The sequence below is a fragment of the Homo sapiens genome, chromosome X (assembly GCF_000001405.40).
Source record: "Homo sapiens chromosome X, GRCh38.p14 Primary Assembly".
Classification (NCBI taxonomy): domain Eukaryota; kingdom Metazoa; phylum Chordata; class Mammalia; order Primates; family Hominidae; genus Homo; species Homo sapiens.
The window spans coordinates 19,396,066-19,414,232 of NC_000023.11; the positions used below are offsets into that span (position 1 = coordinate 19,396,066).

The 18,167-nt window shown below is 41.8% G+C and overlaps 1 protein-coding gene across 7 annotated transcripts in view; it reads right to left on the bottom strand.

Annotated features, from left to right (window-relative positions):
* Window positions 1–18,167, bottom strand: part of MAP3K15 (mitogen-activated protein kinase kinase kinase 15) — a 155,450-nt gene that overhangs the window by 36,007 nt on the left and 101,276 nt on the right. For 6 of the 7 annotated variants that reach the window (NM_001001671.4, XM_011545508.4, XM_011545507.4 and 3 more), the window contains 5 exons: window positions 17,292–17,399; window positions 13,859–13,908; window positions 11,123–11,218; window positions 4,511–4,598; window positions 2,161–2,294 (listed from right to left, as the gene is read on the bottom strand). In NM_001001671.4, coding sequence (NP_001001671.3) covers window positions 2,161–2,294; window positions 4,511–4,598; window positions 11,123–11,218; window positions 13,859–13,908; window positions 17,292–17,399 — 476 coding nt within the window. Of the gene's footprint in view, window positions 1–363; window positions 562–2,160; window positions 2,295–4,510; window positions 4,599–11,122; window positions 11,219–13,858; window positions 13,909–17,291; window positions 17,400–18,167 lie in introns of all 7 variants that reach the window. The other variant, XR_007068188.1, reaches the window with a different exon arrangement.

Sequence of the window (18,167 nt, forward strand, 5' to 3'; positions counted from 1 at the left end):
ATTCCTCTTCTGCGTTCTAAAAACACTCTGTGTACTCCTCTATCATGGCACTTGGCACTTTCACTCAGAGGCAAAGCATCTGCATTTGCCACCGAACCAGCAGAACCCTGGGAAAAGGACACTATCCTAATCACCTTTCGGTCCCCAGTGCCAGCCCAGAGTCTGACACAGAGAAAGTACCTATCATCATAAGTTCAGCCTATAAATTTAGGGAGTTGAACAAAACAGTCTCTAAAGGTCCCTTCTAGCTCTTAAAATCCCAGGAACTACTGATCAGCAACAAAAAGCTAGAACAGCTATTGCTACCAAATGAAGGAGATGGGACATGCCAGAAATTTCCCCAAATAGATACAACTGCAACACCTTATCCATCATGAGAAAAGAGACTGGATGCTGGATGAGGAACTCAAGAGACTCGGATCCTAGTCTTGTTTCTAAGCATCCTTGGGAAAGTCATTTAATCTTCCTCAGTCTTGATTTTCTTATTGGTGAAATGAAGAAATGGAAATAGTTCATTTCAGGTCCTGTCTCATAATTCACGTATCATAACATGCTATCCCACTGAAAATCAACAAATACATGAATGGATGAATGAAGGGTCTTACAGCTGGCAGAAATCCCTTAAAACTCATCCCCAATATATCAGCAATCACCCAGATACATGGGTGTTTACACATTATTCTTCAGCACTCGACACTGAAGGCAATCCTACAGCTGTGGTCTGACACACCTGTGGATCCCGGAATGATTAATTCCAACTGTGTATGTAGCTTCTCTACAGAAACACTTTGCAGTCAACATTGCAATGCTCATTTTGTTGGGGTATAAATTTAAACTTTTTTTTTTTTTTTTGAGACAGGGTCTCACTCTGTCACCCAGGCTGGAGTGCAGTGGCACAGTCTCGGCTCACTGTAGCCTCTGCCTCCGGGGTTCAAGCGATTCTCGTGCCTCAGCCTCCAGAGTAGCTGGGACTACAGGTGTGCGCCACCATGCCCACCCACCTAAGTTTTGTATTTTTAACAGAGACGAGGTTTCACCATGTTCCCCAGGCTGGTCTTGAACTCTTGACCTCAAGTGAGCTGCCCGCCTCAGCCTCCCAAAGTGCTGGGATTACAGGCTTGAGCTACAATGCCCGGCTAGAAACAAACATTTCTTAAAATTAAAAAAAGTCAAAGAAATGAATAAGCAGTACTCATGGTAGAAAAACAGTCCAAAATCCATGTGTGAGGGTGAAGGGTAGGATGTTAAAAAAAATTCTGTACTGCAAAAATCTGATTTTTTTTATCTGCATGTAATTTTCCACAATGATGCATCTGAACAAATCATAGCCATTTTCAACTGCTACAATGTAAATTTAAAATAACCCAGTAATATTTAAAAATTATATTTGCACTCAAAAATTAGACAGGCATGGTGACGTGTGTCTGTAGTCCCAGCTCCTCAGGCGGCTGAAGTGGGAAGATCACTTGAGCCCAGGAGGTGGAGACTGCAGTGAGCCGAGATCTGCCACTGCACTCCTGCCTGAGTGACAGAGTGAGACTTCATCTCAAAAATGTATATATATTTGCAAACAACTACGCAAAAAATGTAAAACTTTAGACCTAGCCAATGGGTGGAAACACAACAAAAGTTTTCTTTTAAAATATGATCCTCTGCAATCCACGTGCCTCTGAAGTGTAGTTCTTCCATTTTCTCAATCTATAATACACAAAACAAAAGCACATCACCCTGGCCGGGCGCGGTGGCTCATGCCTGTAATCCCAGCACTTTGGGAGGCCAAGGCGGGCAGATCACTTGAGGTCAGGAGTTCGAGACCAACCTGACCAACATGGTGAAACCCCGTCTCTACTAAAAATACAAAAAAATCAGCTGGGCATGGTGTAATCCCAGCTACAGGTTGAGCCATGAGAATTGCTTGAACCTGGGAGGCAGAGGTTGCAGTGAGCCAAGATCATGCCACTGCACTCCAGCCTGGGCAATAGAGCGAGACTCCGTTTCAAAAAAAAAAAAAAAAAAAAGATCACCCCTATTACAAGAGAATGACAGGTTTTGTGGTAACACAATGCTTTTGCCCTTAACTCCTCCACACCATGAGCGGTGGGTATGGGATCTGGGGTGTGGAGACGGCACCCGAAATGCGGAAGGCCCGCCTGGACTTGCCTGCTATCTCTCTCCGGGATTTCTTTGATGGCTATTCGCACTTGATTGCTCAGATCTCGGCCAGCATACACAATCCCATACGTGCCTTTCCCCAAGACAACTCTCTCACCATTTGCATCATGGTCATACTCATACTGAAGAAGGAAAAACAAAAGGACAAAAAAGCATACAACTTGTAGCGGAGAAGCCCTCTAAGGCCCCCAGAGTTGTCTAGCAACTAAAAAAAATATAAATAACATTATTTGACTGTCAGGCAAGTCACAGTGCTTAGCTTAGGCCCTTTTCATTAAATGACTTTAAAGGGGCAGAATTCTCCATTGTTCACCTGTTCATAGTATGACTTTATGAAATGGAATCCAAGAAAATTAAAAATATGGTTTGCATATAATTGGCTCACCTTTTGGAAATTCTTCCCCATTTTAACGCTGCAATTTAAAACTGCTTCTAAGCATGTTGAATAACCCAACTAGGTGTCTTCCTGCATAATCCCTTATCAAGTTGTCAGGAAACAAATATCTTTCAATAACCCAGAAAGGAATTGAAGGTCAATATAATTAACATTATCTTAATACAAAAAGTAAATATGCTGGGGCTTCCCCACTCTTTCAGGCATACGGATCTAGTAGTAAACACCTAGTACAAAAACTTGATTTACAATTAGCATTACTATTTTGTTCCCCCATCTTCCCATCAAAAGCTGTCACATACAGATGCATTTGATTCTTCTCGATGATTAAAACAAATGTGACTGTACGCTGAGCAACACTTATTTAAAGCAGAGAGGCAGCAATCAATTTTTTCTGTTATTTTGCATGCTCCACTGCTTCTACTTACAGAAGTGCAGCTTATACACGGAATAGTCGGCGGGTATGTGGGTGTCCTTTCCCATCTACTTCTAGGGATGTTCATGACAATTAAGATTACTAAAGGGTTGGCTGGACACTGTGGCTCATGCTTGTAATCCTAGCACTTTGGGAGGCCCAGGCAGGAGGACCACCTGAGACCAGCATGGCCAACATAGCGAAACCCCATCTCTACTAAAAATACAAAAATTAGGCCAGGCGTGGTGGCTCATGCCTGTAATCCCAGCACTTTGGGAGGCCGAGGCGAGTAGACCACCTGAGGTCAGGAATTCGAGACCAGCCTGGCCAACATGGTGAAATCCCGTTTCTACTAAAAATACAAAAAATTAGCCAGGCGTGGTGGCACGTGCCTGTGGTCCCAGCTACTCAGGATGCTGAGGCAGGAGAATCGCTTAAACCTGGTAGGTGGAGGTTGCAGTGAGCCAAGATCACGCCACTGCACTCCAGCCTGGGTAACAGAGGAAGACTCCATCTCTAAATAAATAAAATACAAAAATTAGCCAGGCGTGGTGGCGGGTGCCTGTAGTCCCAGCTACATGGGAGGCTGAGGCAGGAGAATCGCTTGAACCCAGGAGGCAGAGGTTGCAGTAAGGCGAGATTGCGCCACTGCACTCCACTCCAGCCTCAGCAACAGCGTGAGACTCTGTTTCCAAAAAAAAAAAAAAAAAAAAAAAAAAACATGGTTAGTAAAGGATCTCCATCAGTGTCTGATGTAACTGGCAATCAGCCTGCTCCATAGAAGACTTTTACCTCACACCTCCCTCCGATTCCCACACCTGCTGCCCTCAAAGCACCATTGCTCAGTTCATTTCTACAACAAACTCTGGTCCTGACCTAAGAATTCTAGTAGTTAACTCAATTATTAAAATGAATCCCTTTGATATTTTCTGAAAGAAACATTAAGGAATTCCTTTCAGTCTAACCTGAAAGTACAGTAAAATCTCATTAAATTGTAATCACTGGAAGAACCTGAGTGAGTGGCAAATCTGAATAACTGGGCAAGATTTAAACACCTGTACAATGGTTTAGCAACTGTGGACTATAACTGTGCTGTTAAAAAGAGCTGATGAGCCTACTTTTTAAAATGATTTTAAAGTTGTTATATTTCATATAGTATATGCACATAGCTATAACTAAAGTCATTTTAAGCATAAAACGTCTGCTCTCAGTTGGCCAACTAATTCTCTTGTAGTCTCACAGACATTACTAATTAGCCTAGAGAAAACTTTCATAGGTTGTTCACAAAAGGAAATTTTAGTCTAGTCCATGGCCAAATTTTTCTTAAGCATTCTAACTGAGAGAATCCCAAAGAAATGAGATTCTTCTCTGGAGACACATTCAACATTATCTCTGGGAACCATGCAGTGATGGCTGGCAGGTTCATAAAACATACTCAACAGAGGATTTTTATAGAAAGATGGGACATTTTCTTGAAGCATCGAACACACAATCAATGTTTTCCATATTCTAGATCGTCCATGACTCACCTCCAAGGTGTCTCCATCGGTCTCTCCCTCCAGCTCCACCGTACTGCCTGCTGTATTGGTTATCATCTCTTTGACCAAAGAGAAAAATCTAGAACAGCAAGTGTCACAAATACGTTGCCAACTCAGAACTGCTCTCATTCCTTGTTTTTAACTTAGCTTTATTAAACTGTACTTAAATATAAACCAAACTTTTACAAGTCATGGAACAATCGATCCCCTCCTTGATTTGACGTGGTACTTTAGTGGTTATCAAATCTAGGGCAACTACCAATGTGATACCTGAATCCCCTCTGTATAGTATCTCCACCAACTGGTTGACCAATTGATGCTTGAGTACCTCCAGCAACAGAGAACTCATTACCTCCCAAAGACAGCTCATTCTTGGAAGATCTTAATGAGAAATATTTCCCTTTTACTGAACCAAAGACTTCTTTCATGTGGGTTCCATCCACAGTTTGCTTAGAATTAACCATTTTTCTACTTAACACCCCATTAGAAGTGCACATAATTTTACCATGTCCCTATAAGTCTTTCCTTTCTGTCCCATCACTGTTTTCCCCAGGACGTGTGAGTTACTCTACTAGCAGGTAATTCTTCAGATGACGTCCCTGTGTTACTCTTTTTCTTTTTTTTTTTAAAGACAGGGTCTCGCTCTGTCGCCCAGGCTGGAGTGCAGTGATGTGATCACAGCTCAATGCAGCCTCAGCCAGCCTCCTGAGCTCAAGCAATCCTCCCACCTCAGCCTCTCAAGCAGCTGAGACTACAGGCACCCATCACCAAGCCCGGCTAATTTTTGTATTTTTTGTAGACGGGGTCTCACTATGTTGCCCAGCTTGGTCTCAAACTCCTGGACTCAAATGATTCTCCCACCACGGCCTCCGAAAGTGTTGGGAGGCATGAGCCCCCGCACCCAGCCTCTTGTATTATTCTTGAAGTCTGGCCCCAAGACCAGTGTTCAGAGGGGATCTAATCAATGCTAAGGATAGGGGGACTATTGCCTCTCAAAGTACAGACAATCTAGTTCTCAGTAAGATACAGGGTGTTGTATAAGGGGAATGGTGAGGAGGAAACGCATAAGGTGGCCACATCATTCTGCTGACACAGAACAAGCTTAATATTGACCCATAAATCTTTCTCACAAATTCTACTGGGCCACGTGGGCCACTTCCTAGACTTGTGCAGTTTTTATTTGGATACAAGTCATCTTGACTCATTAGAACATTTTTACTCACAATTCTCTCTTAAGATGTCAAGGAGGAATACTGTACATTTCAGGATAATTTCCATAAACCATTAAAATGCTCTTTTTTCTAACTAACCCATCTTACCTTTTCTTCTAATCTTTGAAAGCTGGATAACCCAATCGTCAGGCTTCTTAAGAGACATATGGTATGCACTCACAGAACAACTAAGATTTAAAAGACGGTATCAGCCAGGTGTAGTGGCTCATGCCTGTAATCTTAGCACTTTGGGAGACTGAAGCGGGAAGACTGCTTGAGGCCAGGAGTTCGAGACCAACCTGGGCAACGTGGCCGAAACCCCGTTTCTACAATTTTTTTTTTTTTTTAAATTAGCCAGGTGTGGTGGCACACACCTGTAGTCCCAGCTACTCAGGAGACTGAGGTAGGAAGATTGCTTGAGACCGGGAGGCAGAGGTTGCAGTGAGCCAAGACTGCGCCACTGCACTCCAGCTGGGCAAAAGAGCAAGACTCTGTCTCAACAGAAAAAAAATAAAAGATGATATCAACTGTTCTTAAGAATACGGAACAACTGGGACTCTCATACATTGCTAGTGGGAGTGTAAATTGACATGACCACTTTGGAAAACTCTTGGCAGTATCAACAACCAAAGCTGAAGATAAACCTACCCTATAATCCAGTAATCCACTCCTAGATATATACTCAATAGAAATCAATATATATGTTCACCAAAAGGCATATATAAGAATGTTCATAGTCATTTTCTTCATAATAACCCCCAAACAGAAACAATCCAAGTCTTCATTAATAGAAGAACAGATAAATTGGAACACAACGGAATGCTACACAGAGAAAGAATGAACTGATATATACTTCACAGTTGGATTTCATTTTGTTTCTTGTTTTTGAGATGGGGTATCACTCTGTCACCTAGCCTGGAGTGCAGTGGCGTGATCATGGTTCACTGCAGTCTCGACCTCACAGGCTCAAGCAATCCTCCCACCTCATCCTCCCAAGTAGCTGGGACTGGAGGCGCACACCACCACGCCCAGCTAATTTTTTTATTTTTTGTAGAGACGAGGGTCTCCCTGTGTTGCCCAGGCTGGTCTTGAACTCCTGGGATCAACCGATCCTCCTGCCTTGGCCTCCCAAAGTGCTGGGATTACAGGTGTGGGCCACCGTGCCCAGCTATGAATATTATTTTAAGGGAAAGAGGTGAGAAACAAGGGTACAAACTACATGATTCTGTTTATTTGTAGGTCAAGAACAGGTGAAACTAACCATTGGTGGTAAAAATCAAAACAGTTATCACTGGAGGGAGTTTAATGACTGTGAAGGGGCACAAAGCAACTTCTGGGGTGCTGATCTGGGAGGCAGGTACAAGAATGTATATATGTATCAAAATTTATCAAGCTGTACACTTAAGTGCACATTACAAACTTGTTTATACGTTACACATCAATAAAAAAATTATTAAAATGTATTTTTAAAAAAAGGCACTGAGTACTGAATGAGGGTCAAAAGGGCACATTTTGTAGTAGTAAAAGGATGTTCTGCTTAATATTAGGTTTTTAATGGCAAAAACTGCAATTACTTTTACACCAATTTATATTTGGCAGCATTTTTTCTACTGTAAATTGAAGGTTATGATCCAATGATTCCCTAGTCTGCTATTTATTCTATTCTTTTTTTTTTTTTTTTTTGACAGGATCTTGCTCTGTCGCCCAGGCTGGAGTGCAGTGGCATGATCACCACTCACCACAGCCTCAACCTCCCAGGCTCAGGTGATCCTCCCACTTCTGCCTCCTGAGTAGCTGGGACTACAGGTGTATGTCACCATGCTGAGCTAATTTTTTTTTTTTTTGTACTTTTTGCAGAGACGGGGTTTTACCATGTCGCCCAGGCTGGTCTCGAACTGCCCACTCAAGCAATCCTCCTTCCTCAGCCTCCCAAAGTGCTAGGATTACAGGCATCAGCCACCACACCCAGCCTAGCCTAATCTTTAAATATGTTGTGACAATGATTGTCTGAGACACAATGAATTAAGACTTTCTCAAATTACATGATACAAATGAACTATGAATAAAGGGAACTTCCTCAATCTGATAAAGGTTATCTATGAAAAATCTGCTGCTAACATCATACTTAATGATGAAAGACTAACTTCTTTCTTCTTAAAAACAGGAACAAAATAAAGATGTCTACTCTCCCTATTTCTATTCCACATTGTGCTGGAGAGTCTAGCTAGGATAATTAGGCAAGGAAAATAAAGGCATCTAGGTTGGAAAGGAAAAACTAAAACTGTATCTGCAGATGACATGATATTGCACATAGAAAACCCTAAGGAATTCAATAAAACCCATTAGAGCTAATACATGAGTTCAGCAAGGTTGTAAGTTACAAAATCAACATTTACAACTCAAGTGTATTTCTAATACATTATCAGTGAACATCCAAAAGTGAAATTAAAAAAACTCCAGTATCAAAATAATAAAATCCTTAGGTATGTACTTAATAAAAGAAGTACAAAATTTGTACACTGAAACTACAAAACTATCATTGAAAGAAATTCAAGAAAACCTAAGTAAATAGAAATCCATCTTGTGTTCATGGATTGGAAGCCAGGATGGTTAATATGGCAATGCTCTCCAAATTGATCTAGATATCCAACGTATTCCCTGTCAAAGTCCTAGCTGCCATTTTTCTACAGAAATTGATAAGCTGATCCTAATATTTACGTGGAAATGCAAGCATCCACAATAACCAAAACAATCTTGAAAAACAAGAACGAAGTTGGAGGGCTCACATTTCCTGATTTTACAACTTACTACAAAGCTACAGTAATAGAGAAAGCATGGTGCTTGCATTAAGAATAGACATACAAAACAATGGAACGGAATTGAGAGTCCAGAAATAAACTCCTACATTTGTGGTCAACTGATTTCCAAAAAGAGTACCAAGACCACTCAATCAGGGAAAGAATAGTCTTTTCAAGAATAGTCTTTTCAACAAATGGTGCTAGGACAACCACATATCCACGTTAAAGAATAAAGTTGGAACCCCTACCTTACACCACATCCAAAAATGAATTCAAAATGGGTCAAAAACCTAAACATATAAAAGTTAAAACTATAAAACTCTTGGAAGAAAACATAAAAACCATAGAACACCTCAGGCTAGACAAAGCTTCTAAGACAAGAGCCAAAGGCACAAATGACAAAAGAAATAAATAGGTAAGTTGTACTTCATCCAAATTAAAAACTTTCGTGCTGCAAGTGATACCATCGAGAGAGTGAAAAGACAACCTACAGGATGGGAAAAAGCATTTGCAAATCATATCTGATAAAGAACTTACATAGAGAAAAAATATATCACATATATATGTATATATCACTCTTAAAATCAATAATAAAATGATAAATAACCCAATTATAAGTGGGCAAAGTTTGGAGATAGCTGGCAAACACCACTTTCACCAGATGATCCACGTTAACATCACCAATGATGACACAGAAATATTGTGTCCCTTGTTATGAGGCACTGAGAAGGACACAACATCATTTCTGTGATATTCCTGCCAAATACATAACATCAGTGTACTCATGAGGAAACGATAAACAAATCCAAGTCAAAGGACTACCCAAAATAAACTGTCTGTACTCTTGGAAAGTATTAAGTCAAAAAAGACAAAGACTGATGATGAACTCTTTCAGGTGAAAGGAGACTATGCAGACGTGACAACTCAATGCAACATGTGATCCTGGATTGGAACGTGGACCAGAGGAAAAACCTTTTGTTTTGCTATAAAAGACATCATTGGGACACTAAGTAAAATTTGGATAAATGTTGTAGATTATAGTACTATATCTATCTTAATTTCCTCATTAGATAACTGTACTGTAATTACACAAGTCAGTATCCTTGTTTTTACGAAATACACTCAAGTATTTACAGGTAATGGAGCATTGTCTACAACTTACTTTTAAACAGTTCAGAAAAAATAACCATATGCATAGAGCGAGAATGTAAAACCAATGTGGTAAGGGGTAAACCCTGAGAAATTCTGTGTGAAACGTATATGGAAATTCTTTGTATTGTATTTTGAAACTTTCCTATGGCTGTAAATATTTTCAAAAATAAAAAGTTTAATTTTTTTAATTGGACTAAGAATTTGAATAGACATTTCTCCAGAGGTATATAAATGGCCAATAAGCACATGAAATGATGCTCAGTATCATTAGTCGTCAGGAAAATGCGAATCAAAACCACAATGAGATCCCACCTCACATCCACTAGGATTACAATACTCAAAAGACAGATAATAACTAGTGTTGGCAAGGACGTGGAGAAATTGGAAGCCACATACATTGCTAATGGGAATATAAAATGGGAAAATGGTCTGGCAGTTCCTCAAAAGGTTAAACGTAGAGTTACCATAAGACCCAGCAATTTGACTCCAAGAGAAATAAAAACATGTCCTCACAAATACTTGCACGTGAATGTTCAGGGAAGTACAATTCATAATTGTCAAAAAGTGCAAACAATCCAAATGCCTATTGGCTGAAAAACAGATAAACTGTGGTATAGCCATACAAAAGAATATCATTCAGCCACAAAAAGAAATGAAGTACTGATACGTGTTACACATGGATAAACCTTAAAAAAATTACGCTAAGTGAAAGAAGCCAGTCACAAGAGACCACATACTGTATGATTCCACTTATATGAAATGGCCAGAATAGGCAGAGCCATAGAGACACAAAGATTAATGGTTACCTAGGGCTGGGGCCAAGATGGGGCGAGGTTGAGGGAATGAGGAATGACTCTATGGATAGTGTGTTTCTTGTGGGGGTGACGAAAATATTCTAAAACTAGATTATGGTGTTGGTTGGAAAACTATGACTATACTAAAAAATGCTGAATGTTATGTTATTTATTTTTTTGAAGTGGAGTTTCGCTCTTGTTCCCCAGGCTGGGGTGCAATGGCACAATCTCAGCTCACTGCAACCTCCACTTCCCGGGTTCAAGTGATTCTCCTGCCTCAGCCTCTCAAGTAGCTGGGATTACAGGCATGCGCCACCACACCCGGCTAATTTTGTATTTTTAGTAGAGGCAGGGTTTCTCCATGTTGGTCAGGCTGGTCTCAAACTCCTAACCTCAGGTGATCCACCCTCCTCAGCCTCCCAAAGTGCTGAGATTACAGGCGTGAGCTACTGCACCTGGCCAAGTTGTGTATTTTAAATGGCTGAATTACCTGCTATGTGAATTACAGAAATTTTAGAGCTTTTTTGAGATGTAAGTTAACATTTCAAGAAAGACAGTAATAGCAAGTAAATATCTTTCAGAACAAAGGCCCTTTAAAAATGATTCGCCATAATTACATTGCAAATACCTGAATTGGCTGTAACTCACCTACTGCACTGCTCTTCGGTGGAAAAGTAGATTTGAAAGTCATCAGAATTATCATGGACATAAAGAAAACAACACCTTTCATCAAACTTTGATAGGCTGTAAAATTTCAAAGCATAATGTTTATACATAAGTTATGATACCCACTCTAAATCTGCAAGACAATCTTTTCTTCTATTTTATCAATTCCTGAAAGATTCATTAATGTTTTAAACAAACACCCCCCGAGTCTGCCTTTTATTTCTCTATGAAATTTAAATACCAGAGACATTTATCTTGCTTATATTTGAGTTTGTATTTATCAACTGACCTTAATATGAACTTACTCTTAATATAATTCAGTGCTAAGCAAAGCATACGGGCAACAGAAAGGGGAATAAAATATGGTTCTCTGTCCTCAAGGGGCTTATAATCTCATGAAAAAGAAAGGCAAGGTATTTGTGAAATAATTTATTGTGGTATTAAGGGAATTTCTAGATTCGGAAAGTATCAGGACACAGTATTTGTGGCCACACAAGGGAAATGGAAATAAACATGGCACTGTAGCTCAAGAAAGGCCTTTAAATGTTTGTTATCTGGTCCATCTCCACCCAGGGTCTGTACCTGATTCTACAGCTCATCCAACAAGCAATATTCAGCTTGCCTGGACATAGCCAGTGACAGGAAATCTGCTAGTAGATTGTATGTCAGAGAGCAGTGGCCCTCATGCCAGGAGGTATTATGGAGAGGAAGGCTAGATTCTCTTCTATCATTGTCCCTTCAAACAACTGAAGCCACTTTATCTCATCCTTTCTAAGTTATCTCTTGCTGAGATCCAAACTGTCCTAGACCATTCTTTATGTTATAGATTGCATGACAAACACTGGGTTGGAACACCAAGAGTACAGAGGAGATTCAAAAAGAATTAGAACTAGATTATAAGTGAGCAGGTTTTGAAAATCAATCTGTAAAGCAACCACCACAGTTAGTTGGAGAGCCTCTGGAACGCTCAAAGTATACTCTTCAGGTCACATGGGTCCCGGGGAGGGGTGGGGCGAGGATGATACGCCCTCAGGCCCTTTGTAAATCCCCACTGATGGCTGAAATGGCACCTAGAGGTATCTCTATGAGGAGGCACAAACAGAAGGATCTTGACTACCTGCTCTAACACAACTTAATTACTAAGTAACACATTTTTGAAAATCTTCACAAGGCACAGTGGCTCATGCCTGTAATCCTAGCATTTTGGGAGGCTGACGCGGGCGGATCACTTGAGGTCAGGAGTTCGAGACCAGCCTGACCAACATGGCAAAACCCTGACTCTACAAAAAATACAAAAATCAGCCAGGCATTGTGCCACACACCTGTAGTCCCAGCTACTCTGGAGGCTGAGGCAGGAGAATCGCTTGAACCTGGGAGGCAGAGGTTGCAGTGAGCCGAGATCGTGCCACTGTACTCCAGCCTGGGTGACAGAGCAAGACAAAAAAATAAAATAAAATAAAATAATTTAAAAAATAAAAATACATATTTTACTAGCAGATTTTCTGTCACTAGCTATGCTCAGGCAAGCTGAATATTGCTTGCTGGATGAGCTGTAGAGTCAGGTACACACACTGGGTGGAGATGGACCAGATAACATTTAAAGAAAGGCCTTTCTTGAGCTACAGTGCCGTGTTTATTTCCATTTCCCTCGTGTGGCCACAAATACTGTGTCCTGATATTTTCCGAGTCTAGAAATTCTTGTAATACCACAATAAATTATTTCTCAAATACCTTACCTTTCCTTTTCATGAGACTATAAACTCCTTGAGGACAGAGACCATATTTTATTCCCTTTTCTGCTGCTTTGTGTATGCTTTGCTGAGTGTATTTCAAATTGCCTTGTATTTCCTGGGCAGTATCATCCCAATGCACTACTTTGTACTTAAATTATTTCCCTCCTTTTAAGTGATGTTGATGGTATCCTAATTTCAATACTGATGTTTCCAGGACAGGATCACACTATGTCTAGAAGTAACTGGGGATTCATTCAGTGGCTGAGGTAGCCTCAGAGTCAGAGAAAGGAATGTTCTAGTACAAGCCCTTTATTTGAAGAAAATAGGGAAGAAACTGAGACTTAGAGAAGCTGAGTGACTTTCCTAACATCACCCAGCAAAGAGAGATTAGAACTCACATCTACTTCACAGCCAGTCTCACCCTCGAATGAGCTGCCAGGGTGACAAGTGCAGCTGAGATGTTTAGCCCTGCTTGGGTAAGGCCACACAGCTCAGGCTCAAACTGTCATCACTCCTGAACCAAAATGCAAGAGCTACTCCTCTCCCGAGAATACACCACCTCATGCCCTCCCTGAAAAAAATCTCCCAGCTCCATTACTCTGTTCACAAGACCCCAACCCGAGTGTTGCCACTAATCATCTCCTGGCTTCAGTTCTCAGAGTCACTGAGCACTTGAACATCTTTGGCTCAAAAAAGATACATCTTCTCTTCCTACCGATCACTTCTTTAAAAAAAATGGCACAAGTGAGTTTAGTCTGCTGAATATGAGCAAAGCTACTCTATTATAATAACCCAAGAAGTTCTCACTAGGAGTACACTAGTATTAATAACTAGCTCAGGAAGGACAACATAATAGAGAGTCCACTTTGGATTCCATTAAAAATAAGAACATTCCATATTATGAGTAAGTGGAAACATTAAAGTGCATAAAACATTATCATCATTTGCATTAAAATAGTAACTCCATTTTCTCCTATGTTCTTACCTTATTCCCTTTATGGAAGAGGCTGTAAAATTCCATTCGTGCATCTGTTTCTGCAAGTTATCAAAGACAGAAGTCAATAGTTTGAGTTTTTTAAAGCAAATGATTTTTTTTGTTTCATTCTATGGTCAATCATTTCTGCTATTTTACCTGCAGTGGTGATTTTTTTACGGGTTACAGCAATACACCTTGTATAACATGGAACACCAGAAACATTTTCTTATGTATTATAAAAATTCATTTGTATCTCTAATCCAGTTTAAATGATGTAAATTTGAAATAATCTAAGTTTCAGATAGAAATAATAAGCATAGAATAAACACACAGTGAGTGGCTTTTCATCTTCTGTCAACATAGTAGGCAAACTCTAAAACAAGCATGGGACTAGCCCACCTAAGTTGAGTGACTTGCAAAAATGTTGGGAGAGGCAAGACTGCGACAGACACCTTTCAGCATTCATCAGTCTTCCTTTTCTCCCTGAACATAGAGCTGAACTACAATTCCCAGCCTCCCTTGCAGCTAGAGAGATATACAGTGGAGTTTTGGCCAATGGGATGTGAGCAGGAATGCTGTGCATCACCTGCAGGCCTGACTCAAAAACTCCACAGCAACCCTCTATTTCCTCTTTCCCCATCCACTGCAAGATGGAATGCCCCCCACCGCCACCCTCTGCAACCTGGATATGACATGAGGCATAGATAAACTTTTATCATGTTAAGATATTGAGATTTGGGGGCTGTTTGTTTTAGAAGCTAGCCTACCATGACTAATAAAAAAACTAACTGGGATTTCAAACAGCACCCAAGTTGCACTTACAAACAAAAACTAACTCGGTCCCCTCCCTTCACTACCACTACACTTTGCACAAAGCTAAGCCTGAGAAGGAACATCTGAAACTCCAGTTTTGGAAAATCCATAGGCAATAACATCAATACATCACAATTGCAGAAAATAATTTTAAGTAGGAAAATCCATTTGGGCCAGGCGTGGTGGCTTACACCTGTAATCCCAGCGCTCTGGGAGGCCGAGGTGTGGGGGCGATCACTTGAGGTCAGGAGTTCGAGATCAGCCTGGCCAACATGCTGAAACCCCGTCTCTACTAAAAATACAAAAATGAGCTGAGCATGGTAGCACACGCCTGTAGTCCCAGCAACTCAGGAGGCTGAGATGGGACAATCAGTTGAACCTGGGAGGCAGAGGTTCCAGTGAGCCAAAATCACTCCACTGCACTCCAGCCTAGGTGACAGAATGAGACCCTGCCTCAAAAAAAAAAAAAAATTCCATTTGGTTGGCCTGAGGAATGTCACAAGTGACCAACTAAGCCACCCAGGGAAGAAAAGTATGAGAACCATGTGACTGAGCATTTGGCTCAAGAGAACTGCCATGAATAGGCACATGACTAGTTTCTTGCCATCCTGGAGCAATGACAACAGGAACAGACTGGGAAGATGGTTTCCGATGGGAGAAGTTTTAGTCATACGTGTTGATCAAGCACCTACTATGTATGTGCTAGGCAAAGTACTAATACTGAAGACACAGCAGAGAACCACAAAGTTCCTGCCCTCATGGGCCTTGCATGTGAGTGAAGAGAGATGGACAATAGATTAAATAGTAAAATCATACCATGGGGGGCGGTGAAAAGTGTTATGAAGACAAATAAAGTAGGGAAGGGCATTAAGATAGGGCAGGGGGTCACGTTGTTCAACAGGATGTTCAGGGTAGGCGTCGCTGATGACTTCTGAACAGAAAGCTAAAGTGGGGGAAGAAGGAAGCCACGTGGATGCCTGGGGGAAGAGTTCCAGGCAGAGGGAACAGCAAGTGCAAAGGCCCTGAGGAGGGGTGTGCCTGGCACGTTCGGGGACCAACAAAGAGGCAAATATGGCTACAGTGGAGTGAGCGGGATGGGAGTAGAAGAGGAGGTTGGAGAGCTCATGGGCAAATCATGCAGGACTTCTAGGCCACCCTCGGGATGTCAGCTTTGACTCTGCGTGAGACAGGAAGCCACTGGAGGCTTCTCATAAGAGGGTAGGAGAATATGAAAGCCAGCAAATCACATCCAACTGCATAGAAAGGCTAAGTGTACTTCAGAGGAGACATGAGTCCAAAGTCATGCAGAGAGGATAGTGGCAGACAGCAGGAGTCGGCCTTTGGATTCAGGCACAGAAATGGGAGCCAGGGCAGACTCAAGAGTCTTGTCTAACCCACAGCCACCTGCAGGAGGCTGCACATATACAGAAAGCTTAGCCACATGAGTTTCCAAAGACTTCCCCAATGGCAGGTCTATTCCACGGTGGCTTTAGAGAACTTCTTGATTTGGGAGGAACATTTACTAGTTAAGTAAACAACACATTTTATGTAATAATCAACAGGCATTTGTTCAGGAGTGGGTAACTGTTCCATAGCTCCTACAGCTACAAACATACAAGTCATGTATGGGCATTCTTAGGATGTTCTTCTGTGCATGATACAGGCAATTGGTAGCCTACAGACACTCAGCGGAAGGAATGAAGGAGTGGTTAAAGATGACTTTGCAAAAGCTAGGACTTGGATAATCGGAAGAAGGAAATCCCAAAAGGAACAAGGATGGAAATGAAAGGGTAGACAGGAGCTCCCGCAGGGACAGCTCAGGGGCGAGTAAGAGGACAGCCTGACTGGCACTGAGGGCTGAAGAGAAAGAGGAAGGGAGGGGGCAGGATTATATAGGGAGGGACTTGAACACTTAGTAAAAGAGTCTGAGTTTTATCTGGAAAGCCACAGGATCCAGTAATAGTTGAGGAATATCAAGAAAGCCAGTATAAGTGCTTCTAAAAATATATTACTATTTTATTTTTCTAGAGACAGGGTCTCACTGTTGCCCAGGCTCGAGTGCAGTGGTGCAATGATAGCTCACTGTGGCCTCGACCTCCCAGGTTCAAGCGATCCTCCCACTTCAGCCTCCCAAGTAGTTGGGACTACAGGTGTGCACCACCACACCCGGCTAATTTTTTAAATTTATTTTTTATAGAGACGGGGTTTTGATGTGTCACCCAGGCTGGTCTTGAACTCCTGGGCTCAAGCAACCCGCCTGCCTTGGCCTCCAAAAGTGTTGGGACTACAGCTGTGAAACAACACACCAGCCTGTATCCTCTACCCACTTCCCTAAGGTTTAACTATAAAAAAACAAACCAACCTGTATTTGTTTTAATGTTTTTATACACACACACACACACACACACACACACACTCCCCCACCCCCACACCTCACCACATGCCCACACACACACATGCCCACACACACACAAAATGGAAAAACCTACTGTCTCTCATCTGTGATGATACTCTCTCATATATTCTCATAATTCAGAAGTTAAACATGGGTGCCTTTTCCTTCAAATACTACCATCTAGACTCTCCTATTTGAAAACTGATTAAATTGCTTGTGATTTTTCCTCCTTACCATTTCTGTGGGTGAGACATGCCATAAAGAAACTGTTCTCTCCTCGGCTTCATTGTTTATGGAAACATAAGAAGGCTGGTACACTTTGGTTGGCTCTATGACCAGAACCTGAAACAAGAACAGATGCCTGTTAACGTACATGGGTAGAAAACATAGCGCACCCTGCCCAGCGAGGAGGCGGGGAGGTCCGTACTCAATATATCCTCACTGAGGGCCAGGCACAGTGGCTCACGCCTGTAATCCCAGCACTTTGGGAGGTTGAGGTCGGAGGATCACTTGAGCCCAGGAGTTCAAGGACAACATATTGAGATGCCATCTCTTGGGGGGGGGGGTGGGGAAGATGAAAGGAGATAAAAAAAGAGGTGATAGCCCATCAGTAAGGTGTTACTTTGTTAAAAGAGAGGAGGGGAGGGGAGAGAGGGAGAAGAGGGTGAGGAGGAGGAGAGTGGGGAGAGAAAAGGTGGGGAGAAAGAACAGAAGGGGACGAAAAAGAGAAAAGGGGAAAAGGAGAGAAGAAGGAGGCCAAAGGAAGAAAATCGGGAGAGAAGGAGGAGGGCACTTTGGGAGGCCAAAGCAGGCGGATCACTTGAGGTCAGGAGTTCGAGACCAGCCTGGCCAACGTGGTGAAGCCCTGTCTCTACTAAAAATACAAAAATTAGATGGGTGTGGTGGTATACACCTGTAATCCCAGCTACTCAGGAGGCTGAGGCAGGAGAATCACTTGAACCCAGGAGGCGGAGGTTGCAGTGAGCCGAGGTTGCACCACTGCACGAGACTCCGTCTCAAAAAAAGAAAAAAAAAAAAAAAAGAGGAGGGGAAGAGAAAGAGGAGGGGTGAGATGAGGAGGGAGAGAGGGAATAAATCTCCAAAACAAAT